The 27,830-nt window shown below is 39.3% G+C and overlaps 1 protein-coding gene across 53 annotated transcripts in view; it reads left to right on the forward strand.

The window, feature by feature from the left end:
* ERC1 (ELKS/RAB6-interacting/CAST family member 1) overlaps positions 1-27,830 on the forward strand; it is a 505,975-nt gene that overhangs the window by 36,471 nt on the left and 441,674 nt on the right. For all 53 annotated transcript variants that reach the window (NR_027948.3, NR_027946.3, NR_027949.3 and 50 more), the window contains one exon: positions 1,319-2,143. Coding sequence is in view for 49 of the 53 variants with exons in the window: in XM_047428566.1 (XP_047284522.1) it covers positions 1,475-2,143 (669 nt within the window). In the remaining 4 variants the exon portion in view is untranslated. Of the gene's footprint in view, positions 1-1,318; positions 2,144-27,830 lie in introns of those variants that run through there.

The raw sequence follows: 27,830 nt of genomic DNA on the forward strand, positions 1-27,830 counted from the left end.
ATTCCCATATATAATTTAGACCCTGTTCTTGGGCTAGTACTATACAGTTTTCGTTATTATAGTTTTACAAGGCTACAATACTTTGTAAGAAACCTTGCAGGTCAGATGTGGTTTTGTTGTCAGGAATTTTTTCCAGTAATACTTAGTGGACATTATGTAGTATCCAGTAATCACACACATTGTTTTCTTAATGAAATATATGAAGTCACACTATGTGGGATACATATAAACAGTAAGTAAGCTCAGATCAGGTCAAGGTTTGCTGCTAGATGAGTTAAAAGGAAAATCTTATTTTCAGAGGTTTTTGGATTTTTGCAGTACAAATGAAGAATTATGGATTTGTAATTTATGTTGCTGTTGAGGGCTGTCTTCCTTCCTTGTTCATCTATTTTAAATTGTTTGGTTACTCTTGTATCTTTACTCTCCATTTGAATTTTAGAGTCAGCTTGTTGAGTTACTTGAAAAATCCTTCAACACCTGTGAAAGGAAGGGATCTATAGCTGGTTAGCAAAATCCTGTAGAGATTTTTCACTGGGATTGTGCTAAGTAGTTGGGGAAGAACTAAATCTTAGCAGTGTTTGTCTTCTCATCCATGAACACAGATAACTTTGTTTAGGTGTTCTTTCATGTCTTTCAGTAAAATGTTATAGTTTTTTTCCCCCAAAATTCTTGCACATTTCTGTTGATTTACATCAAAGTACTTTTATGGTTTTGTTGCTGTTGTGAATGGGATTTAAAATTTCCTTTAAATTAAAAACTGCATTTTCTAGTTGTTACTACTGATGTATACATTGATACTTATATATTGATATTGAGTTTGACCAGTTTGTTGAGTTCTGTTATTCTAATAACTTGTCAGTTGATTATCTTGGGTTTTCAGTTAGCAAGTCAGATATTCAGACATTGAGTTTAATCTTTTCCTTGTCAATCTTTATACTTCTTGTTTTTTTTTCTTTTTCTTTTTTGTAGACAGGGTCTTGCTATGTATCCCAGGTTGGTCTTGAACTCCTGGCCTCAAGCGATCTTCCTACCTTGGCCTCCCAGAGCGCTGGGATTATAGGCATGAGCCATTGCACTTGGCACTTTTTTTGTTTGTTTTCCAGTTGCATGGTATGTTTTCAGCGTTCAGTTTTGAGACATCTAAAATATCTCTAAAATATTGTTTACTATGAGTACATTATGCTGTAATCACATTCTGAATGCGTGAGTACATACATGGTAGAAGGGCTAGATCTTCTTTAAGTGGGGGTAATGGAAAGTCTCTGAGAAGGGAAATATTTATTATTGGAGGATTTAATGTGTGATCTTTTCATTACAGATATGGTGTAAGATACTTCTTCAAGATTGGACAGCTGGGGACCTTCTTCTGATTAACCTTAAACCAACTTGTAGCCATAGAGACACCTCACAAGGTTCCCATTTTTGTTGTTGTTGTTGTTGATTTTCTGCTCACACCTTTCCTGACCTTGCAACCATGTATGGAAGTGCCCGCTCTGTTGGGAAGGTGGAGCCGAGCAGCCAGAGCCCTGGGCGTTCACCCAGGCTTCCACGTTCCCCTCGCTTGGGTCACCGTCGAACCAACAGTACGGGAGGGAGTTCGGGAAGCAGTGTTGGAGGTGGCAGTGGGAAAACCCTTTCAATGGAAAATATACAATCTTTAAATGCTGCCTATGCCACCTCTGGCCCTATGTATCTAAGTGACCATGAAAATGTGGGTTCAGAAACACCTAAAAGCACCATGACACTTGGCCGTTCTGGGGGACGTCTGCCTTACGGTGTTCGGATGACTGCTATGGGTAGTAGCCCCAATATAGCTAGCAGTGGGGTTGCTAGTGACACCATAGCATTTGGAGAGCATCACCTCCCTCCTGTGAGTATGGCATCCACTGTACCTCACTCCCTTCGTCAGGCGAGAGATAACACAATCATGGATCTGCAGACACAGCTGAAGGAAGTATTAAGAGAAAATGATCTCTTGCGGAAGGATGTGGAAGTAAAGGAGAGCAAATTGAGTTCTTCAATGAATAGCATCAAGACCTTCTGGAGCCCAGAGCTGAAGAAGGAACGAGCCCTGAGAAAAGATGAAGCTTCCAAAATCACCATTTGGAAGGAACAGTACAGAGTTGTACAGGAGGAAAACCAGGTAAGTTCTACGTGTGTTTACCTTTATTGGCTGAATTCATGTATATAAATGAAATAGCCTTTTTTTCCCCTTTCCTAGATTTTTCCCTTCGTAGTATATGTATCTTCCTTTTTCCTATTGATTTTACTGTTTTGTGTCCTCCATTTCTCAGCCCTTTCCAAATTTGGTCCTGTACCCTGTTTTCTTCTAGCTGCCCATGTCTCCTTGCTCCCATTCTTGCTTGGTTCTTTTCTCTGGTTTCTCTTTCTCTTCGTGTCTTTCCTTTCAGCATATGTTATCTTTTTTTTTTTTTTCCAATTCTTCTGAGAGTATAATTTTGCCACACTCTCTAATATCTATTACCAAATGTATTTTAGAGTAGGTAACTTAAATGTAAGGTATACCATTAAGATTTGTCATAATGTCAAAAAGTCATTCTTAAAAACAAAACAAAATGACTATCACAGGATAAGTCAGTGTTGTCAGCTGAGAACAGAAATTACTTTTAAAAAGTTAATGTTGGCCGGGTGCAATGGCTCACACCTGTAATCCCAGCACTTGGGAGGCCGAGGTGGGCGGATCATTGAGGTCAGGAGTTCGAGACCAGCCTGGCGACGTGGTGAAACCCTGACTCTACTAAAAATACAAAAATTAGCCAGGTGTGATGGCGTGTGCCTGTAATCCCAGCTTCTAAGGAGGCTGAGGCAGGAGAATCACGTAAACCTGGGAGGCGGAGGTTGCAGTGAGCTGAGATCCCGCCACTGCACTCCAGTCTGGAGTGAGACTCTGTCTCAAAAAAGAAAAAAAAGTTAATGTTGATGATGTATTTATTAAGTACAAACAATAAGTACCTGTTCTTTTTGTTGCCATTCATGGAAGTTTAACTTCAGGATGCTTTTGTAGCTTTTCGTTCTGTAATTCTTTACATTTAAGGTGGAGGAAAGGCAACTTGGTGTGATTGTTTACTTGTAGAAAATAAATGAGATGACTGGGCATTATAATTATGGGCTTTGCAATTTGAGAGCTAAGTGCTGTCACATTAGCTACAGGAAATATTCACTTATTTTTCTGTGCTCCTCCAGGTTATAGTTGATGTTTGATGATAGCCATGCCACATTCAGTGAGGAAGCTGATGACTCCAAAGATGTGAACAAATCATATTCAGGCTCTACTAGTTAAAATGTTAAACATACTTTTTTTTTTTTTTTTTTTTTGAGACGGAGTCTTGCTCTGTCTCCCAGGCTGAAGTACAGTGACGCAATCTCAGTTCGCTGCAACCTCCACCTCCCAGGTTCAAGTGATTCTCCTGTCTCAGCCTCCTGAGTAGCTGGGATTACAGGTGCCCGCCACCACGCCTGGCTAATATTTGTATTTTTAGTAGAGACGGGGTTTCACCGTGTTGGCCAGGCTGGTCTCAAACTCCTGACCTCAGGTGGTCCACCTGCCTTGGCCTCCCGAAGTGCTGGGATTATAGGCGCGAGCCACCGCCAGGCCCATACTTTTTGTTTAAAAGACTTTTAGAATTTTTCTCTTTTCACATTTTTTTCCCCCATGGCCCAAGTTGTCTGTACTTTTAGAAGTTTTCTTAAACTTGCAAGCTTGAGTTTTTTTCCTCCTTAAAAAAGCTGTCTTATACTCTTAAAGGAGAATATGTAATTAGCTACCTCATTGTTGGTATTACACTTTATTTTTGGATTAGGTTAATAAAAATTATAAAGAAAGCAACTGATATCAATTTCTGCAGTGTTCTTAAATGATACTAAGAAGTAAAGAAGCAATCAGAAATGATCTGTGTCTCTGATGAAGAAGTCATCTGCCACACAAAGATGTTTAGGTCAATGATGGACCTCATGTATCACTGTGGTCCCATAAGATTACAATATAGTGTTAGCCAGGTGTGGTAGCTCGCACCTGTACTCCCAGCACTTTGTGAGGCTGAGAGGGTGCGGATTGGTTAAGGCCAGGAGTTTGAGACTAGCCTGGGCAAAATGGTGAAACCCTGTCTTTGCAAAAAAATAGAAAAAAAATTAGCAGGGTTTTGTGATGGACGCCTGTACTACTTGGGAGACTGAGGCAGGAGGATCACCTGAGCCTGGGAGGTCGAGGCCACAGTCAGCCGAGATTGGGCCACTGTACTCCAGCCTGGGTGAGAGTGAGACCCTGTCTCTAAAAACAAAACAAAAAACAAAGATTATAATACAGTGTTTTCACTGTATCTTTTCTATGCTTAGATGTGTTTAGATACACAGATATTTACCATTGTGTTACAGTTGCCTACAGTATTCAATACAGTAACATGCTGTACAGGTTTGTAGCCTAGAAGCAGTAGGCTATATCCTATATCCTAGGTGTGTGGTAGGCCGTACCAGGTGGATTTGTATAAGTCCACTTGATGATCTTTGCACAGTGATGAAATCGCCTTTCTCAGAACATATCTCTGTCATTAAGCAACATATGACTGTAAATCTAATTTAAGATTTCGGTTGATTGTCTTACCATTCTTACTATTATGCAGTCCAGATATTCAGATCTACTGTTTTGGCTACTTGAAGATCTCTAGTTACATTACATTTTGTATGTTAAAGCTCCAGACACATTTTCAGCTATAAAAATAGCTCAATTTTTCTGTTCATAAATATAAAACAGAAAAGCATAGATATGAAAGCAAAATATATTCCAGATCCTCCCATCTACTGACAACTTTGCTATTCCACTGTTAACATTTTGACATTTCTCTTTACTGAAATATCTCTATGCATATACACGTAACGGATTTACCTGAATGGAATACTGTTGGTATTATGCTGTGACCTTCTTTTAGCTAACAACATTTCTACTGTATATTAGAGGCCTCTAATATATATCTAAATCGTTATTTTTAATGCCTCCTACCATTCTATTGTATCTATTCTAGTTAATATCACAGGGCCAAAATTCTTCAGATTTACTTGGTAGTACAACGCAAATTAAAAACCTTGAATTCATTTGAATCAGATTTCTAAGTAATTAGAAATTATGATAATTTTATTCTTTCTCAGATACATTATAACTTCAAACTACTTTGCTTTTACTTTTTAATCAATTATTAAGTTGTCACTACTCAAAATTTGAATGTTTTAATATACTTAAATCTCTTTCTTAGAGACTTAGCTTCTTTAAAGAAGAGAAATTGTCCTTTAAAAAATATTCCTTAGAAAGTTCTTTGAGTTTGAGTCATTAAGACTTTAAGAATGTGTAAAGAAAGAAAAAAAGCTAAAATAGACCCCACTGATGGGGTCTAAAATTAAGGACAGGGTTCTTAAATGCTGGCTCAGAAACATCAGCATCAACAGGCATATTTGGTTAAAACATAGATTGCCAGGCCTCCCTTCATACCAGCTAAGTACAATCTCTGGAGATGGGGTCCAGGAACTTATGTTTCGAACAAGCTTCTCTGGTGGTTCTGATGAGAAACCACTCTTGGGATCTTTAGAATTTAGTAAATCTAATCTAATTCTTTTTTTTTTTTTTTTGAGATGGAGTCTCGCTCTGTAGCCCAGGCTGGAGTGCAGCGATGCGATCTTGGCTCACTGCAACCTCTGCCTCCTGGGTCCTGGTTCAAGCAGTTCTCCTGCCTCAGCCTCCTTAGTAGCTGGGATTACAGGTGCCCCCCACCACACCTGGCTAATTTTTGTATTTTAGTAAAGATGAGGTTTCACCATGTTGGCCAGGCTGGTCTTGAACTCCTGACCTCGTGATCCGCCTGCCTTGGCCTCCCAAAGTGCTGGGATTATAGGCAGGAGCCACTGCGCCGGGTGTAAATCTAAGTCTTAAACTTGTCTGTTGCCTGTTTGTCAATTTGTGATGGTTCTGTTGTGGCACTTTTGAGCTCAACCATGAAAGGAAAAGAAACAAGGGACCATTTGCTCAGTGTGTCTCATCCTTTATTCTACCACTTTATATCTCAGGGATGTGACCTACTCTTGTTCGTAATGATCATTAACTGTGACAGGGACCCTCAGTGGATGGGGCATGTGTAGGGGAAAAGGGTGTTTAAAATTTTAGATATGTTTAGTTACAAAGAGCCCTCCAGGTGATTTTGATGTCTCTTCACCTTGTGAATCATTGATGCACCAGATAAATGTTCAAATGATATATGACAGCAGAGCAGAGAAGTACATTTTCTTCAGTTGACATTTTTGAGTTGTCAGTACAATACTGACTTTAGTTTTTAATTTGCATTGCACTACCAAGTAAATTAGTTGAATTTGTCAGTTGAAGTACAACACCAAAAAGAATAATTCCTAAATATAAAATGATAGTACATTCTCAGGTTTTTTTTTTTAATTGTTGTTGTTTTGAGACAGAGCCTCTCTATGTCACCCAGGCTGGAGTGCAGTGGCGTAACCTTGGCTCACTGCAACCTCCATCTCCAGGGTTCAAGTGACTCTCCTGTCTCAGCCTCTGGAGTAGCTGGGATTACAGGTGTGTGCCACCATGCCTGGCTAATTTTTTTTTTTTTTGAAACAAGAGTCTCGCTCTGTTGCTCAGGCTGGAGTGTGGTGGCGTGATCTCGGCTCACTGCAAGCTCCACCTCCCGGGTTAATGCCATTCTCCTGCCTCAGCCTCCTGAGTAGCTGGGACTACAGGCGCCTGCCACCACGCCCAGCTAATTTTTTGTATTTTCAGTAGAGATGGAGTTTCACTGTGTTAGCCAGGATGGTCTCAATTTCCTGACCTCATGATCCGCCCACCTCAGCCTCCCAAAGTGCTGGGATTATAGGTATGAGCCACCGTGCCTGGCCAATTTTTTGTATTTTTAGTAGAGACGAGTTTCACCACATTGACCAGACTGGTCTTGAACTCTCAACCTCAGGTAATCCACCTGCCTTGGCCTCCCAAAGTGTTGGGATCACAGTCATGAGCCACCGCACCCAGCCTTTTTTTTTTTTTGAGCTGGAGTCTCAGTGTTGCCCAGGCTGGAGCGCAATGGCACAATCTCGGCTTACTGGAAGCTCTGCCTCCCGGGTTCAAGCGATTCTTCTGCCTCACCCTCCCGAGTGGCCAGGATTACAGGCGTGTGCCACCATGCCCGGCTAATTTTTGTATTTTTTTTTTTGAGACGGAGTCTTGCTCTGTCGCCAGCTGGAGTGCAGTGACACGATCTCAGCTCACTGCAACCTCCGCCTCCTGAGTTCAAGCGATTCTCCTGCCTCAGCCTCCCAAGTAGCTGGGATTTCAGGCATGTGCCACCACGCCTGGCTAATTTTTTGTATTTTAGTAGAGACGGGATTTTGCCATTTTGGCCAGGCTGGTCTCGAACTCCTGACCTCAGGTGATCTGCCCGCCTCAACCTCCCAAAGTGTTGGGATTACAGGCATGAGTCACCATGCCCAGCTTAAATTCTGTTTTTATAGTTTGGTATTGAATTGTAAATATCAGGAGAAAAAAATGAGTTTGCTTTCTTTAGTTTTGTGGTTAAGTATCAATATAACCTAGGTCTTGGAAACTGTATCTGTATTTTTAGGGGTTGTATTGGGTTCTTTTTCTTTTTCTTGGTAAAAATGAGATTGGTAAATTTGGAGTATGTAATGGTGTATACTAGTGCCCAAATATGAGATTCTTTATATGTATTTAGATAATTATCATAGTGTATCATATTTGAATATTATACAATTTCAAATGTATTGTTAATAAAAAATCACAGTTTGATTTAATTGAAAAGTGGCTGAGACATAATTTTTTATTATAAGAAATATTGTGAGCTGGGTATGGTAATATATGCATGTAGTCTTAGCTACTCAGGAGGCTGAGGCAGGAGAATCCCTCGAGTCCAGGAGTTTGAGTCCAGCCTGGGCAACATAGTGAGACCTTGTCTCTTAAAAATAAATAAAAAAATAAATAAAAATTTAAAATAATTAAGAAATATTGTGGAAAAATTGCATGTGAATAAACACTTCTTTTTAAAGGCTCTACTTTTCAAGAATGGATTGACAGTATATGTGTGTGTCAGATTATACGTGTGTGTGTGTATCAAATTTAGAGTAGATTTGAAGTTACTGGATTTATCACCATTATACCTGGAATTAGCTAGTCACCGTTATACCTTGTTGATGATGCTGAAACTATGCCCCTCACTAAGATAGTTTTTATTATGAAGTGACTCAGAAATGTCAATTTTAATGAAAAAAGTTATTGGCGTACTTGTTCATTTTGGAATAATTGAAGCAATTGTTTATGCCTGTACTTCAGAAGCTGTGTGGAAAATACGTAATATCCTTTCTAAGTATCAGTCTGCATTCAAAGACAAAATATTTGAATCTTCTGAATACTTCAGTTCCAGTGAAACAGTCCACAGGATTTTCATGCCAAAAAACCCATATGTGCTGAAGAATGGTGAACACCGCCTTATCTAGATTCCACCCCTTGCCCTAATTAAACACCAGTGCTGGCAGCGATGCATTCTCCGTATACCCACTGTAATTACTACACAATCCTAAAATTGTATAACTTTGGTCCAAAAAACGAAGGGTGCAATTTTAAAGTAAAGTGAAACACTGCAATGAGATACAGAGACAGAGAATGCTAATTAATAGATTATAGTCAGCCAGCAGTGGGGCCTAATTAAACTCTGCATTCATTATACCCTCCATAGCCCTCAGAGGTCAGGCATCTTCCACTTGATAAAGAAGATTGGTTTAATAGGATTTACAGTAATTAAATGGTTTCCCCATTTCAGTTTGAGACTGGGGATTTAGGTCCATTCTAAATATTGGATCTGATTGGACCATAGAGATCTTGTTCTAGGATCCTATTAGATGTAAAGACGCATTTGCTTAGAATTACTTGATATGTGTGGTTCTTTATTATGGAGTTCTTTTAGAAGATGTTTCTGATATAAATACTCAGCAATTTTTATGTCTCATCCTTTTGTTACTGAACTTTCAAATACTGCTGGTTGGAGAGTTAGAATAGTATGTAACAGGGAAGGCTTTTTCTTTTTCTTTTTTAAAATTGGGAGTCAGGAAGGTTTTTGGTGTATGTTTGACAAAGAATGAAAATCTAGCTGTGAGCTTGGTGGAACTGCAGAGCTACTAAGACTTTGGATGGGGCCGGGCTCAGTGGCTCATGCCTATAATCCCAGCACTTTGGGAGGCTGAGGTGGGCGGATCACGAGGTCAGGAGATCGAGACCATCCTGGCTAACACGGTGAAACCCCGTCTCTACTAAAAATACAAAAAATTAGCTGAGTGTGGTGGCGGGCACCTGTAGTCCCAGCTACTCGGGAGGCTGAGGCAGGAGAATGGCGTGAACCCGAGAGGCGGAGCTTGCAGTGAGCTGAGATCGCACCACTGCACTCCAGCCTGGGAGACAGAGCATGACTCCGTCTCAGAAAAAAAAAAATACTTTGGATGATTTTTTTTTTAAATTCTAAACAGCATTTAACCAGATTATCATCATACTTTTTAAATTATGCCTTGAAATAATTCTGTATGTTAAATTTAGTTGGAAGCTTATTTTAAAAATGTTTATTTAAAGCACTGTCATTGAAATATTTCATGAACAAAATACTGTTTAATATTATAGGACGGCAGGTGAATTTAATGTTTTTTGCCTTGTGTGTTGTGTTTCTTCTCTTTTTGGAGTCTGATTTTTATGTTGCTCATTTACTTAGGAATCGAGAATTTCTAGTTCAGAACTGCAAAAAGATAACCTTGTGTAATTCTTTGTCATTTTTTTTTCTCATTATTTGGAGACTTTTGACTATTAACATTTATATAATTTTAGGTTGTATCTTGATTTGCCGCATGATAAAAGCCATTATTATTTGCCATTAAATAAACTTTTTTTTTTTTTTTTTGAGACAGAGTTTTGCTCTTGTTGCCCAGCCTGGAGTGCAATGGTGCGATCTCGGCTCAGTGCAGCCTCCACCTCCCAGGTTCAAGTGATTCTCCTGCCTCAGCCTCCTGAGTAGCTGGAACTGCAGGTGCACGCCACCACGCCCGGCTAATTTTTTGTATTTTTAGTAGAGATGGTGTTTCGCCATGTTGGGCAGGCTGGTCTCAAACTCCTGGCCTCAGGTGATCTGTCAACCTCGGCCTCCCAAAGTGTTGGGATTACAGGTGTGAGCCACTGCTCCTGGCCTTAAATAAACTTTGTCATGAGGTTGCTAGTTGTTTCACTGTCATTTAAAGTCTGATCTTAAAATTTGGGATCTATGTCTTAGATTATTGTTTTAATTTTCTTTTTGATAATTCTGTTTTAACAAGGAGATGTAGATAAATTGGTATCCTTGTTTATTGCCCAGATAAGTTTAATCTTTTTTGTTGTTTCAGAAGGGGAATGTGTTAAAGGCACTATGCAGAGTGCCATGAGAAAATGAAATCAAATGTAAAATGGATAATGTTCCTTTTGGGGAGTTAACAATCATTTCGAGAAGCAAAATTTGTACATGTATGGCTTACAGAAATTTGAACTATGCATTTATCAGGTCTTGATCATAGGTGAAGGTATTTAAATCAGTGTGGGAAATTTGCTTCTTTTACAGTTGGTAAGTTTGCTTATCTGGAATGTAGTGAAGTATGAAAAATAATTAAGCAGAGCTAATAAAAATGTTGCACAAATATGAGATAGGGCTTATATGAAGAAATAAGGGCAGAGTTTGCCAGATAATTGCAGTTTCTCTCTCACTTTTTATTTTCCTCTGTCTTTTTGGATCTCATAGTGCAGTGTAGTGTGTGATCTCATCTCAGTGAAATAAAATTGTTTTTAGAGATTTGCTAATTTACAGCAAATTTGCAGATAGCATCTTAAATATAATTTGGGGGTCCTCTTTATTGTGCAAAAGAAATCAGAAAATGGGTTTAGTTTTTAGTTACATTAATGTTAATCAGTGGAGGTCATAGTTTCATTTTTTAACATTTAAAACCGTACCACCCTCTGGAACTTGCCATCTGTTATGAGTGCACTGTTATGCCCAGAAGAGTATAGGAGGTGCTTAGAAACCATACTTTATAAGAAATGGCTGAAGGAACTCAAGAAGAGAAGACTTGCAACATTTTAATTATACTCTTAAGTATTTGGTGGACAGCCATGTTGAAGGAGATTTTTCCTTTTTTCTTTCTTTGTTAGTATTGTTTTTGGAGAACAAACACTGGAAAAATGAGCACAAATATTAAGGTTTTAAATTTTGGCTGCAAGGAGGAATGGATTTTTGAAAAAAGCTATATCCGGCCTGGCGCAGTGGCTCACGTTTGTAAGCCCAGCACTTTGGGAGGCCGAGGCGGGCAGATCATGAGGTCAGGAGATCCAGAGCATCCTGGCTAACATGGTGAAACCCTGTCTCTACTAAAAATGCAAAAAATTAGCTGGGCTTGGTGGCGGGCACCTATAGTCCCAGCTACTCGGGAGGCTGAGGCAGGAGAATAGCGTGAACCCGGGAGGCGGCTCTTGCAGTGAGCCCGAGATTGCGCCACTGCACTCCAGCCTGGGCGACAGAGCAAGACTCCGTCTCAAAAAAAAAAAAAGAAAAAGAAAAAAACTATTTCCATTTGATGAAAGAACAGTTTCACAAAGTAATGCTTCATCATCACTAGAAGTGGTCACTGGGAGGTCAGATTGCCTTCTGACAGCTGCGTGGGTGCCCTAAGTCATTGAACTCTTCACAACGCCCAAGGGGGTATGGCATCAAGTGGTACTTTGTGGAGAAACATTTAGGGAGTTTACCCCATCCTCCCAGGTCCTTTTGTCCTTTTTCTCCCTCCCCATCTCCTTTCCTTCTTTTATGACAATTTTGTTGAGATATAATTGAATTCACCCTTTAAAGTATAGTTTTTTCTTTTTTTTTTTGAGACGGAGTCTCGCTCTGTTGCCCAGGCTGGAGTGCAGTGGTGGGATCTCGGCTCACTGCAACCTCCGCCTCCCAGGTTCAAGCAGTTCTCTGCCTCAGCCTCCCAAGCAGCTGGGATTACAGGCACACGCCACCATGCCCTGCTAATTTTTGTATTTTTAGTAGAGACAGGGTTTCACCATCTTGGCCAGACTGGTCTTGAATTCCTGACCTGGTGATCTACCTGCTTCGGCCTCCCAAAGTGCTAAGATTACAGGCGTGAGCCACTGTGCCCAGCCTTTTCTTTCCTAATCTGATTTACTCAATGAAGATTTTGAAGAAAGTAATAGTAAGTTGCCCTAGGGAGTTCTTGAACGAGGGCATAAATGATGTAATAAAAAATACTGTTCAGGAGCAGCTTTTACTGCTGTCAGCAGAGTGGATTGAAGAAAAGGTGGGGAAAGGAAATGAGTTTCTTGTAGAAGACCTGGATTAAACAGGGTAATAGGAATGGAGAAGAAGGTGCACATCCATGAGATTTTCAAAGAAATATTTGGATATAGGCAGGGAACGATGGCTCGTGCCTGTAGTCCCAGCACTTTGGGAGGCCAAGGTGGGCAGGTTACTTGAGCCCAGGAGTTCAAGACCAGCCTCGGCAAAATAGTGAGACCCCATCTCTTAAAAAACAAAATTAGGGCCAGGCACGGTGGCTCACGCCTGTAATCCCAGCACTTTGGGAGGCCGAGGCTGGCGGATCACGAGGTCAGGAGATCGAGACCATCCTGGCTAACATGGTGAAACCCTGTCTCTACTAAAAATACAAAAAAATTAGCTGGGCGTGGTGGTGGGCGCCTGTAGTCCCAGCTACTCGGGAGGCTGAGGCAGGAGAATGGCGTGAACCCGGGAGGCGGAGTTTGCAGTCAGCCGAAATCGCACCACTGCACTCCAGCCCTGGGTGACAGAGCGAGACGTTGTCTCAAAAAAAAAAAAAAATAAAAATAAATAAATAAATAAATAAAAAATTAGCTGGCATGGTGGTATGTGCCTGTAGCCCCAGCTACTTGGGAGGCTAGGGCAGGAGGATAGTTTGACCGCAGGAGGTGGAAGCTGCAGTGAGCTGTGAGTGCACTACTGCACTTCCACCTGGGTGACAGAGCAAGAGTCTGTCAAAAAAAAAAAGAAAGAAAAGAAATATTTGGATATAGACGGCAAGAGAGAAGAATACAGTGAACCATGGTATTGAGATTGGGGAACTCTTTTCCCTACGATTAACAACGGAAATGGATTAGAAAGTGGAACTAAATTTAGAGTAAGGAATGATGAATTTGGTTTTAATTATTTGAATAAAAGTTTTTCATAAGAATTTGGAGATAAGAGACTAATGACTGTGACCTCAGGTACATGCATATAGATGTTATAAAGGTGTGCTTGTTAATGTTGGGGAACTCACTTTTCTAGTTAATTCAGTATCAGCTACATGCCTCTGCTTATGGGAGTAAGAAGTGGAGAGGGAGAAGCCATTAGAAGATACAGTTTTATATATATGTTCTCATCCAGCTCGATTTGTGTTTTGGTTCTCTGTCTTTATTGTGGTATTTTTGTTTGACAGCAGATACCTTGAGTGATTCTCTCAATTCCTGAAAGTTATTATTTATTAAAGTTAATACTGATTTATGATTTTTTTACAAACTTCTACTATTAGATGTCCCTTATTTTGTTTTAGTTAACAACAAGTTTATTGGAGATCATGTACCTACCTCTGTTGTGATAAATTAGGAGTGACTTTGGGAAAAAGAGAAATATTACAAAAAATGTGCTTTCAGTGAGGAAATGATAAATTTTGTTTTTGAAAATGTTCTTTTCTTCCCTTATGGACAAGATTAGAAATGCTTTTATGAACTGTTTTTGTGCTACCATACACATTTCTAAAAATACTCATTTTTCTTTTTCTTTTTTTCTTTTTTCTTTTTTTTTTTTTTTGAGACGGAGTCTCGCTCTGTCAACCAGGCTGGAGTGCAGTGGCGCAATACTCCGCCTCCCGAGTTCATGTCATTCTCCTGCCTCAGCCTCCCGAGTAGCTGAGACTACAGGCACCCACCACCATGCCCGGCTAATTTTTTGTATTTTTAGTGGAGACGGGATTTCACCGTGTTAGCCGGGATGGTCTCCATCTCCTGACCTCGTGATCCGCCCACCTAGGCCTCCCAAAGTGCTGGGTTTACAGGCGTGAGCCACCGTGCCCGGCCTAAAAATACTCATTTTTCTTTCCAGATTTGGAAAGTTAGTCTTTAACGTAGATCTTTTCCTTTGATTTTTCCATATATTAACAATACTTACTGAACCCTTTCCCCCTTTATTTTGCCAGTCTTTTCTACGTAATAGGCTTTCCTTCCTAATACTGGATTGCAGTGACACTTGCTTAATTTCATATGTGGTGACTGTATAGGCCGAGAAAGTGAGATAGTTCAGCCTTAATGTACACAGTGTACCATCTCTTACCGGTGGCTGGTAGCTTATGTACTTTCAGAGAATGTGGTATGCAAAGATCTGTGTAGCTTTGAAGTCATCCTGAGATAACTGCTCTGATCTTAAATGATCCTCAGATACTTGAAGAGTCCTCTGTAGCAGTAATTCTTAAACTTGTTGGCCACAGGACCTCTGTATATTGTAAAAATTATTAAGGACCCCAAGCAGCTTTTGTTTATGTAGGTTATATCTACCAATATTTGTCATATTAGATACTAAAATAAAAAAATAATATTTATTAGTACATTTAGAAACAATAAACCTAATAAATGTTATCATAAGTAACGTTTTAAAATGAAAAACAGTTTTGCAAGTCTCTCTTTCTTTTTTTTTTTTTTTGAGACAGAGCCTTTGCACTGTTTCCTAGACTGGAGTGCAGTGGCATGATCTTGGCTCACTGCAGCCTCCGCCTCCCGGGTTCAAGTGATTCTCCTGCCTCAGCCTCCCAAGTAGGTGGGACTACAGGCATCTGCCACCATGCCTGGCTACTTTTGTATTTTTAGTAGAGACAGGGTTTTGCCATGTTGGCCAGGCTGGTCTGGAACTCCTGACCTCAGGTGATCCACCTGCCTCAGCCTCCCAAAGTGCTGGGATTACAGGCGTGAGCCACCGTACCCAGCCTAGTTTTGCATGTCTCTCTAAGGAAAGGAGGACTACAAATCTAAAGGCCTTATGTGGGTCTTCTGCCTCTTGTAAGAGGCTGCCACTAGAGTGCTCACTAGGTCACTCTTTAGCTGAGATCTCTGTTACTTGTTCAGTATTGTAATAAAATATTATGACCTGTGACATCAACATGGATTAACAAGTATCTGGCTTCTTGGTCAAGGGTTAGGAAGTTACACTGTTCTTTAGTAACAGTGAGCAATGGGAAAATGCTGTGAGTAATGGTGAGGAATGGTAACTTTGTTGATTTGTTGTTGATAGCATGTATTTCTTGACCCTTAGAGAGGTTCTTTGGGTGGGCTGTCTTAAGGAAGCCCTTATATTGTAGTTGGCTAACCAACAGGCCTGCGCCATCACACCCAGCTAATTTTTGTATTTTTAGTAGAGACGGGGTGTTGCCATGGTGGCCAGGCTGGTCTCAATCTCCAGACCTCAGATGATCCACCCGCCTTGGCCTCCCAAAGTGCTGGCATTACAGGTGTGAGCCACTGCATCTGGCCTACCAGTACTAGAGTCTGGCTCTGTTGCCCAGGCTGGAGTGTGCAGTGGTGTGATCTCCGCTCATTGCACGCTCCGCTTCCCAGGTTCACGCCATTCTCCTGCCTCAGCCTCCCGAGTAGCTGGGACTACAGGCACCTACCACCGCGCCCAGCTATTTTTTTGTATTTTTAGTAGAGACGGGGTTTCACCGTGTTAGCTAGGATGGTCTTAACCTCCAGACCTGGTGATCTGCCCGCCTCAGCTTCCCGAAGTGCTGGGATTACAGATGTGAGCCATTGCGCCCGGCCTGTTTTTTTTTTTTTTTTTTCTTTTTTTGAAATGGAGTTTAGCTCTGTTGCCCAGATGGAGTGCAGTGACACGATCTTGGCTCACTGTAACCTCCACCTCCCGGGTTCAACCGGTTCTCTTGCTTCAGCCTCCAGAGTAGCTGGGATTACAGGCACCTGCCACTATGCTCACCTAATTTTGGAATTTTTAGTAGAGACAGGGTTTCACTATGCCAGGTCTCAAACTCCTGAACCCAAGTGATCCACCCACCTTGGCCTCCCAAAGTGCTGGGATTACAGGTGTGAGCCACCGCACTCGGCCTAGTATTTTTAATTTTTTTTTTTTTAAACCCAGTTGCATTGTATTTATGTGATAAACCTACAGCATTTGTTGTATTTCAAAGAAGCATTTTTGGGAACTAAGTTTGTTTTATAGGACTTAAAATTTGAAAAATTGGGAGAATACATTCAAAAAATGTTCTTTTGATTATCTTTCATGGATTTGATAGCCTGCATAATAAGTAATTTCTTCTTTTCACATGACTCCTCTTCCTGGGCATAGGAACTTAAAGTAGGTACTACATTCTTAGGAGAGAAGCATATTGTAATGAGTGTTTCCAGTCTTTCCTGTCTTGTAATTTTAGGAGGGTCTATTTCTTATTTTTCTATGAAAACATGTTATCTATGGTACAGAGTATCTTCTTTTTCTTTCTTTTTCTTTTCTTTTCTTTTCTTTTTTTTTTTTTTAGACAGAGCCTTGCTCTCTCGCCCAGGCTGGAGTGCAGTGGCGCGATCTTGGCTGATTGCAACCTTTGCCTCCCGGGTCTAAGCGATTCTCCTACCTCAGTCTCCCAAGTAGCAGGGACTACAGACGCCTGCTACCACGCCTGGCTAATTTTTGTATTTTTTAGTAGAGACAGGGTTTCACCATATTGGTCAGGCTGGTCTCGAACTCCTGACCTTGTGATCTGCCTGCCTTGGCCTCCCAAAGTGCTGAGATTACAGGCATGAGCCACTGCGCCCGGCCTGTACAGAGTATTTTCAAGAGATGAAGCAGGTAAAAGGTTATTTACTTAAATGGTAGCAGATAAATTTTTGGATTTCTCTTGGTATTTCTGATGAAAGATACTTATTTTAAAGGGATAGTGTATTGGGTCTCAATTGTTGGAAAGTTGTGGGAACACTGGCTGTTAGAATAACTGGGGGCAGAAGGTGTTTCTAGGATTTAGGGTGGAGAGGTCTTAAAGTTACCACATTCCCCTCACTGCTTAGGACAGGTCTGCATACTGAAAAGCTTTCCCTCATACCATATGATTTTCATATGTCTTGCTAGGAATTTGATAGGTGAAAAAAATCTGCTTATAGTCATTTGAGCCAAGATCCTATAACTAAATAAATGTGTGTAAGTGCATTAGCATTGTTTGACTGAGGACGAAGTTGATAGAAGATTATACTTCGTTTTGTTTGTAACTTTACCTAGAACTTTTGCCATTTTGGAAAAGCACTTCAACAGCAACATTGCATTGTTGCTAATGCTACTGTCTCTTTAGCTTCTGTTTGCATAGTCTTTTGGTGTAGTTGTGCCCTGGCATTTACATGTTAACATACATACTATTTTATTATAAATTCTTTCTTTTCATTTTTCCTTCATACAGCATTATATAATTTTTTTTTGAAACCGTATGTGGGAGTGGGCTTATTATCTGTGCATTTCAGGATAGTGAAGGGCATATTTACAAAATGTTTGTTATAAAATGGGAGAGTATTAAGTCTGATAAGCCTGAAATTCACTGGTGTCATAGATGGAACACTGAATCAGGAGAGCTGCATTCTAGTTCTGATCCTGGCTTTGCCAGGTGTGTAGCCATGGCAGTATTTAAGCGTTTTGAATGCCAGTTTCCTCATCTTTAAAACCCATAGAGTTGGACTAGGTGATCTTTAGAGTCTTTCTTCTGAAATTACTTGATTTTGTTTTTGTCAGTTATCCTAGTGGAATTCTCTAAGAGTCTGTTCACTTTGATCATAATGCCCAAATTCAAAACTGATTCATATGACCAAGTTGAGTGCTTCTGGGAAGGAGAAATACATGACTAATGAAGTTCTTTTCAAGGTAGATGGGAGAAAATCAGTGTTTACATCTAAAGGGCAAAGAGCCTTCATGTGAATTTCATCAGTTGACAAATGGGGATCATAATACTTGTATTGTTGTTGGAATATTTAAGTGAGATTAAAGAAGATAATATTTATAAATTATGGACAAGACTACCTGACATAATAGGTATGCAGATAAAAGTTGAATTAAAATTAAGTCAAACATTTCTTAAATACAAATACATTTTATAATATATTTTGAAGTATGAAATATACCTTTCATGATCTGCTACCAGAGGCAAACAGTAGCATGGGACCTATAAAATTTTTTTAGAAAGTGGGTCACAGTGGATAATAAGTTTCATTTGGATAACTAATCACTACCAGCCCAGCCTTAATATTCCTGTAGGAGTTATCAGGAACTTTGAGTAGAGTAATTAGCTCTCAGGATTTTCAGTTACAGTCATATTCATTATTTAACATTTTTATTTCCACAATGACTCATCCATGAATTATGGAGTGCTTTCCCAAAAGGAATGTAGTATTGCTGGAAATGAATTTTTTATTGCTCTATTTTCTTTCTTTGGTAAGGGGTTCCTTGTTGGTTAGTTGGGCCCAAAACTCTCCACAAATAATTTAAAATACGTGCTTTTGTATGAAGATGACTTAACAAGGCAGTGGAGATTTCTCTTGAATGGGCAACATAGAATGCTTAAATTTTCTTATTCTGCTTATTTTAAATTATTAATTTTTGTACTGTGGTCCTGTACTGTGCTTTTTAAATTCTTACATGATAAGTGTATGTCACTAAAAGGTATACTTTGCTCACAATTTCCCTATTATTTACTCCACTGACATTAAAATTGTAGCATTACATCTGAGGTTCCCTTTGGTTTTTATGTATCATTTGCTGTTGTATCCTTTAAAAAATAGTGTAATAGATTTGTCAGTGAAAATGATGTCTTACTGTGATGCTGTTATCAAAGGCATCTCTGAGTACCTATGATAGAGAACTAGTGAAGGGGTTAATATCTATTGTAGATATAGATGCTAATATATCTAGACTCTTATAGATGCTAGTAATTATTATAGAACATTTATAGATACCATCCTAGATGCTTTCATATACATTGCTTCTAATCCTTACTAACAGTTCTGTAGGTAAGCAATGTTGTCCTCATTTATAGGTGAGGAAATTGAAAATTAAGAGAGGAATTTGTTCAGGTTTCACATCTAGCAAGTGACAGATATTGGTCCGTCTGGCTACAAAGCCAAATGTCATTGTGTTTTTGACTAAGGACAAATGAATGAAGTGTACATACTAGTTTAAAATATTTATTGAAAAATTAATATTCAGTCATTTATTAAATGTAAAAGATGGCATTAAAATTCCTCTGTGTTTTGTTGGAGGAGGAAATACAAGAATAGGTGTATCATAGGATCCAAAGGCTCCTGAGAAGGGGTTAACATTGAGAGAAGGGGTAGAGAAAAGAGATAATAGGTGATCAGTTGAGAAGATGATAAATATAATTTGATTACTTTAAATAATCAGTCAACATCAGCAGGTGTAAATGACATACATCAGTACTTTTCTTGTTTTGATTAGGCAGGAAGCAGTAGAGTAATGATTCCCAGACTTGCATTTTGCACACTAGCAAAATAAAATATAAATAACAGAAAAAAAGTGGGGGAGACTGGCATAGGATTGTCAAATAAAAACAATTAAAAAGTGATACATGACTACATAGTATTACTGTTGTTTTATAAGGGGAAGGTCAATCTAACACCAAAGGAATTGTGCATCATTCCACAATAAGAGACAGTTCTTTCAAGAAAATACAGATTTTAACTTTGTAGTGACAGTTTTATTAAGGCAACTTGGTCATGGACTGGCTTTGAGAAACATTAGTTTATAATAGGGAACACCACATTATAGCCAAATCCTTCCTACAGGAGTTGTACATCCTATAAGCAAAGAATGGCTTTTACATTTTTAAATGATTAAAAAATTAATATATTGTGATATGTGAAAATTATATGAAATTCAAAATTCAGTGTGCATAAATAAAGTTTTATTGGGACACAGCTATGTTTATTTTTGTATTATATATGGCTGCTTTCACACCAGTGGTAGATAGAGTAGTTGTGATAGAGTCTATATGACTTACTAGACCTGAAATACAGTGTCTACTCTCTGGCCTTTTACAAAGTTTTTCAATACTTTGTTTGGATAACAGAGTAAATAATAATAGCTAACACTTGTGTAGTGTTTACTAAGAAACAGGCCCTGTTTTATGTGCTCTATGTTATTAACCATCATAACAATTTTATGAGGTAGGTACTGTTTATTGAAGTGGAAACTGAGGCTGAGAGTAAGTTGCCCAAGGTCACATGGCTGTTAGGTGGCAGAGGCAGCCTTCTGCCTAGATGGTGCCACTCCACGGTACATGCTTCATCACTGCACTTGGCTAGCAGAGAAGGAAATCAGAGACTTCAGGATGTGACGCACCCTTCACATTTGCCGTAGTTGTTTTAGGAAAAGAGGAAAGTAGCCTTATTCTATAGTTGCCTGAAGTGTTATCACTGAGTAGTTGAATGAAGAATTCAGCATTAATTACTTCATGATGCATGAACATTTGGTGTATTTTTATGTGACCCAGTGGATTTTCCCCAGAGGTCTGTTGATTGAAATGTCCTACTTATTGATGTCCTACTTATTGAACTTTTGAACAAATAAATCTGTTATTTCTGAACTATTGAGTTCATTTTTGGTATAATTAGAATAATAAATTACACTATTAACTTGGTGGAGGGTAACTGTTTCTCTATCATAAATATTTATCGTGTTGTTCTTAAGGAGCATAAGGCATAAGCCCCCCGTCATTGATTTAATTTAAAAATAAAACATTTATTGACACATACAGAAATATTTTAATTAAAAATTGTTAAATGGCTTTTTTAATGTCTATATATATTCTACCCCCCACCCCCCAAAAAAAGCCATTGTATGCCAAAGCCCGAAAGAAGAATTACATTACCAGTAGTTGGATTTTTGGCTGAATCTATTCAAGGGGAAATCACTATTTTCGTTTTAGAGATGGCTTTGGGTGGAGGAGGTAAGGTTTCAAGAACTGGTTGAATGAAAGAATATTGACAAGTAAGTGAATAAACTAGAATTAGTGTGACCACTTCTGATTTCTCAAATAATGTGTTTACAAACAGTGTTCCTACATTGTAATGGCAGTATAAAATGCTGATTTAAATAAATAGAAGTTTAGTGGCTACACTTTTTCTTAGTTAAACCTCACTATATTCTGGATTTAAAAATGACAGTAACTAATGTTAGTTTTGTGCTCCTCTGAAGGTTAGAAACCTGTTATATGTGTCTAAAACGGGTTTTAATGGGTTTAAGACCACAGAGAAGATAGGACTGACACTTTAGTAAGATTCTTTTTTTCAATCTATTTAATTGTTCTATGATTTTACCTTATTCAAGGTGATGGAGGGTGAATTAGGGTGGGTAAAGGGTAGGGGGAATTGAGACAGTGGTTAAGGTTGATTTTTGACTTGTAGTTCGCTTTCATCTTTAAATTGTGGAAGTCGCCTTCCTTTGTTCATTTTGAAGTTTTGGGCAAAATGTTCTCAGGCTAGATGCAGGTAATGCAGGTAACAGCGGCCAGCACTTCCCATACTAGAGGGCGTTGACTTTCTCAAAGTGTTGACTCGTTTGTGATGTTTTTGCATTTGTTTGGTTTCTGTTTGCTGCTATGTTGTTGCTCTTCCCAGTATGGGATAGGGTTATGGTATTAGTAGAATTACAGTGTTAGTGGTTTTTCTTCCTCTTCCCATTCCATCCATAACCTTGACACTCATAATTTTGAAACCTATCGTTCATTACAAGGGTTAAAATCTAAAATGTGACTGTGCAGGTTGAGATGGCATGTTACAGCTCCTGCCACCTCTTTTTCTTGTGACAGATGGCTTCCCCTCCTGGTTGTAATCCACTGCTGATTTTTTTCAAAGAGCGAATACCATGTGTTCCCCATTTTGGCTCTGGTTGTGTTCTGCCCACTCATTGGCTTCAGAGGATCTTGAAACAGGAGGTACTTGCTGCTGGCATTTATGGCAGGAAGTGGATACAATTGCGATACTTTGTGCCAAGTGTTCATTTATTAGAAAAATTGTGCTTCCTAAAATTAAACATTATTTCTCTGTCACATCAAGAGTAAAGCTAAATTTTATTACTTTTTAGAATATGCTTTTCCCTTAATGTTGTATTATAAAAATTTTTTGGTGGCAAATTTATTACAAAATAGATTTTTAAATCTGAATTTCACATACTCAAAGATTTATAGTCTGTGCAAGACATTGAATGAGTAGCTCTAATTGCACTAGTATAATATAATTACGAAAGGGATCTGTATCACAGAGACTTCTGATCACAGAAACAGTTGGAATTGTTTGTGATGTGTGGTATTGAACTTGTGATTGCATATGCTTTGTGGTACCTATAGACAGTAGTGTTTGTCTATTTTAACTCTCTTGCTTCGGATCTCCCCTTGAGTAGATTCAGCTAAATAAGTTATAAATTTCACCATCTTAGGCCTTCTTGAAAATTATAAGTATCTGAGACAGCTTAATTTCATAAAGCTACTGTGCATATTTGGAAGTATGGTGTTTGGTTTTTTAAAAAAACCTGGCAGGCCAGAGTAAGCAAATTGTTTTTTTATGTTTTTGTCAAGAAACACCCCAAGATAAATGTAAACAAATATTTGCGCATTACCGTCATTGATACTGGAATTTGACATTTCTGTCCTCAGAAGTCACTGTTCTGTCAGAGTCTGCTGTACTTGCCTGAGTGAATAGTGCAGGATTGGCAAAAACGTTGCCTGCTCATGGCAGATCATCTCTAAATCTCTCTTGACAACATCTCTAGCTGAACCCAGATCAGTGATTCTCAACCTTGGCTGCATATTGGTATCACTGAGAAACTTAAAAAACAAACAAACCAAAACCTGATGCCTGAGTCTCACCCAAACCCTCAGATAATTTGATTTGATTGGGCTTGGGGGTGGTCTTGCTGTGGAGATTTAAAAAATCTCCCCAGGTCATTCTAATGTGAAGTCAAGGTTGGTTGAGAACCACTGGCTACTACAAATGGATAAGAGTTGGTAGTGTGAACTGAAATGTATTTGCCATCCTCAGTCTAGTGAGGGGATTTTCTAACCATGCCACAATATATAAACAATTTGCAGTTTGAATGGATAGAGGTTGGTTATCATTGGAATTTGAAAGGACAAATGACAAGTAACATCGGATGATTTACCAGTGTTTTGTGATCTTTTTTTTTTTTTTTTTTTTTTAAGATGGAGTCTCACTCTTGTTGCCCAGGCTGGAGTGCAATGGTACGATCTCAGCTCACTGCAACCTCCACCTCCCGGGTTCAAGCGATTCTCCTGTCTCAGCCTCCTGATTTACAGGCATGTGCCACCATGCCCGGCTAATTTTGTATTTTTAGTAGAGACAGGGTTTTACCATGTTGGCCAGGCTGGTCTCAAACTCCTGACCTCAGGTGATCCGCCCGCCTCGGCCTCCCAAAGTGCTGGGATTACAGGCGTGAGCCACTGCGCCCGGCCAATGACATTTTAAAAGAATTGCCTTCAGAGGGTAGCTGGAAAAGCAAATGGATGTGGGACAAGAGGTTGTTCCACAACCTCCTGGGGTGGGGATACCCGTTCTGTGATGGCATTAAGGAGAACGAGAGGGCTGAGAAGAGAGCAAAATGATCAGCCCTGGATTTTGGGACTTGGCCAAAAAAGAAAGGATGGAACAGGACGTCAGGATAAGATCTAAGACTTGAAGCAGAAACTGTACTTCTTCCTGACCCAGGAGGTGTGAGACAGGGAAGTGGTGGTAGCAAACAGGATAGAATGAGAGGTTCCCTTTTACACCCAAACTTGTTCTTTGCTTAGTGGCAGAAGGCTCAATTTTTCTTTATTAGAGCATTTTCTTTATTACAGCACTATGAGCTTTACTATATGTGAATCACCTGTGAGCACTTGTTAAAATTTCTGGATCCCTCCCAAAGTTTCTGGTTTAGGACTGCTGGGGGAAGGCTCAGGAATCTGTATTTGTGAAGGTTAACTGAACCTTTTTTGTTTGCTTACCATCTATTCAGTGTTTTCCCTATTCTTTGTTCTATTTATTTAGTAATTTAAAAAATTGACTCATTTTAAAAAACTGAATCTTATTTTAAAATGAAACTGTCACTACTACACGTGGAAAACATTTGCCAAAAAATAAAAAATGAAAGTGTAAATACATAACTATTAAGAAAAAGGTCAGGCCGAGCACTTTGGGAGGCCGAGGCGGGTTGATCACGAGGTGAAGGAATCGAGACCATCCTGGCCAACATGGTGAAACCCCATCTCTACAAAAAAATGCAAAAATTAGCTGAGCGTGGTGGCGCGTTCCTGTAGTCCCAGCTACTAGAGAGGCTGAGGCAGGAGAATCGCTTGAACCCGGGAGGCGGAAGTTGCAGTGAGCCGAGATTGTGCCACTGCACTCCAGCCTGGCAACAGAGTGAGACTCAGTCTCAAAAAAAAAAGTCATATATGTACCACTCTGAAGATTATTTTTAATATCATTTTGGGAACTACTAGCGATTCTGATACAGATAGTTTTGTCATCATACTTGGAGAAATATTGAACTAGAGACAAAAAGTTTCACTTAGATTGCATGATTTTCAGCTACTGTTGCACACTTGGAATCTGGGGCATTTTTAAAATACTTTTGGTCAGCCCCCATCCCCCGATTTAATTGGTGTGGGCTACAACCTGGACATCAGGATTTTTAAAACACTCTCCTAAGGTAATCGTAATGTATATTCTGGGTTGAGGATTTAGAGGTTAAAAAGCATATAATGCAGTTAGACTAAGAAGCATAAATTCATGAATACTAAAATACACTTATCTCGGTATAATTAGAAATAAAGAAGACTGGCTGGGCATGGTGGCTCATGCCTGTAATCCCAGTGGTTTGGGAGGCCGAGGCAGGAGGATCACTTGAGGCGAGGAGTTTGAGACCAGCAAGGGCTACATAGCAAGGCCTCGTCTCTACCCCAAAAAAAAAAAAAAAAAAAAAAAAAGGGCAGAAGAAAAATTAGACAGGTACAGTGGTAGGTGCCTGCAAATCCCAGCTACTCAGGAGGCTAAGGTGGGAGGATTGCTGGAGTCCAGGAGGTTGAGGCTGCAGTGAGTCCTGATCCTGTCACTGCACTCCAGCCTGGGTGACAGAGCGAGACCCTGTCTCTTATAACAAGAATGAAAAACACCACAGTGACCACCTGGGGGATGTGGGCAGGGGGAGAGGAAAAGAAGGTGAATTAATAAAGCACTAAGGCACCGTGTCCTTATGATCGCCTCTGCTCCTGCCTGCTTCTCTTGTTTTCTGTTCTTGATGAATAGCGTGAATTAATAAAGCACTAAGGCACCGTGTCCTTATGATCGCCTCTGCTCCTGCCTGCTTCTCTTGTTTTCTGTTCTTGATGAATAGTGTGAATTAATAAAGCACTAAGGCACCGTGTCCTTATGATCGCCTCTGCTCCTGCCTGCTTCTCTTGTTTTCTGTTCTTGATGAATAGCAAGAGCTTTTAAATTGTCAGCTAGTCCCCAAACGTAAGTGTGCATCAGAATTAACTGGAGGGTTTGTTAAAACACAGATTGCTGGGACTCATCCTCAGAATTTCTGATCGAGTAGGTCTGGGGTGGGGCACAAGATTTAATTTCCCAGGTGATGCTTCTGCTGCTGGTCAGGGAACAACACTTGAAACACTCATCTAGTTAACCAAGCTGAAAACTTTAGGACATTAGCCTGACATTTATTGTCTCTGTGTATTTTATATATATCCAGTGAACTTTAAAAATAATTACGTAAACACAAACCTGTGTTTCCATCACCTAGAATTAGTAAATGTTAATGGGTGTGTGGATAAATATTAATTATGAATAAATATTGCCTTTTTGGTGATAATAAACCGCTGTGTTTTATTTCACACTTTTGAGTACAAGGAATAAAAAAATACAACTTTTCTGGGCTTGAGATAAGTGCTCTTTAGGTTAAGCTATAACACCGAAGAGAAAATAGTGCTCCATTAACTTGTTTCATCAGTCTTTTAGGCAACCAAATGAGAAAAGCAAAGAAAAACAGTACAGTCTAGATTGTATACTCCATCTGAGAAAAAACATTAAAAAGTATTACGTATCTGAAAATGAAATTGTCGGACAGGCGCGGTGGCTCATGCCTATAGTCCCAGCATTTTGGGAGGCGGAGGAGGGCGGATCACCTGAGGTCGGGAGTTCAAGATCAGCCTGGCCAACATGGTGAAACCCCGTCTCCACTAAAAATACAAAAATTAGCCGGACATGGTGGCAGGCGCCTGCAATCCCAGCTACTCAGGAGGCTGAGGCAGGAGAATTTCTTGAACCCAGGAGGTGGAGGTTGCCGTGAGCCAAGATGGTGCCGTTGCACTCCAGTCTGGGCAACAAGAGTGAAACTATGTCTCGAAAAAAAAAAAAATTGTCAGCTGCAATCATTTTATCCTGTTTTTCTGTTTGAATAGTTTATTTGAATAGTTCATGGAATTAATAAGTTGAATTTATTTCTATATCTAGAAACTTGGGAGGGGAAGGGTAAACTGTTATGTATGGTATAAAAAATTTAAAAGTGTTGTGAAAATACTATTTTCAATTCTAAAACGCTTGTTCAATTCTAAAATGACTTGTTTCCCCTATGCTTGATATAGATCAAGAGGGAAAAAGTATTAATGGGTATTATTTATTCAGCAAACATTGAGTTTACATTCAGGACTGTCAACTTGACTATGGAACAATTCAAGTAGCTTTCGTTAGTCTTGCCTAGCTTTTCGTTATGCATTAAATATGTGCTTCATTCAGGAGGAGATCACCCCACCCCAGCCAGGTTAGTTTTGTCAGGTAGAAATAATGCTGTTTTTATATTCTCATGAAGAGTGTATGTATTTTTTCATCGTGGAGCTAATGCTAGGATTCCCTGAACTTGCTAGCTTCTATAAATCCTCCTCACCATTCTTCGAAGCAAGGGCTTTGGAAAGTATGGACTTAACTGTCTCATGAAAATCCTTGTATAGCTTCAATTGTCCTCCCTCCTATTTATTTTTCATGAAATTATTCTCTTGACACACTTGTTTATTTTCTATTTAGTCTTTCTAGACTCTTCTATTTGCTTCCTTCTTGGACTATTTGTTCCCTCTTGCTAGAACTCTTTATCTTCACTCATTAACTAAACTTTAAGAAAAGAGTCCTTCCCATGTTTCCTTTAACAGGGAGGCCAGCTTGTTTTTACAGCTCATATAATATATGCAGGTAGTAGAAGACAGATGAAAGCAAATACTTTGCAAATTATGGTATGTTTGCTTCAGTTTTCAAAAAGTCTGGGAGCTTGGTCTCTTTTCCCTGGAAACCACCTCTGTTTTGTCTTGCAGATGAGAGTGTGATCTTTAAGCTAGCCTTGACCTTTTGGGTGGTCTGTGCTTATCTTTCAAGTGTTTGCAGTAATTAGGACCAGTATATCAAAAAAAGCATGCTACCTATGTTATTTGTATTGTCCTGATCTTCTAGATTCAGAAAAAAAGAGAGGTTATTATTTTTATAACTGGATTTCCTATATTTGTGGATAAGAATTCCAAAACTAACAAAGAGAAAATCATCTTGACTGTTACGTGCTGTAAAAATCATGTATTCAAAGTTTGTACTATCACAATTCTGGATTCATGAGGATTTGCCAGACATTCAAATTAAAGCCTAATCAATAACT

Source organism: Homo sapiens, chromosome 12 (genome assembly GCF_000001405.40).
Source record: "Homo sapiens chromosome 12, GRCh38.p14 Primary Assembly".
In the NCBI taxonomy this organism is placed as follows: domain Eukaryota; kingdom Metazoa; phylum Chordata; class Mammalia; order Primates; family Hominidae; genus Homo; species Homo sapiens.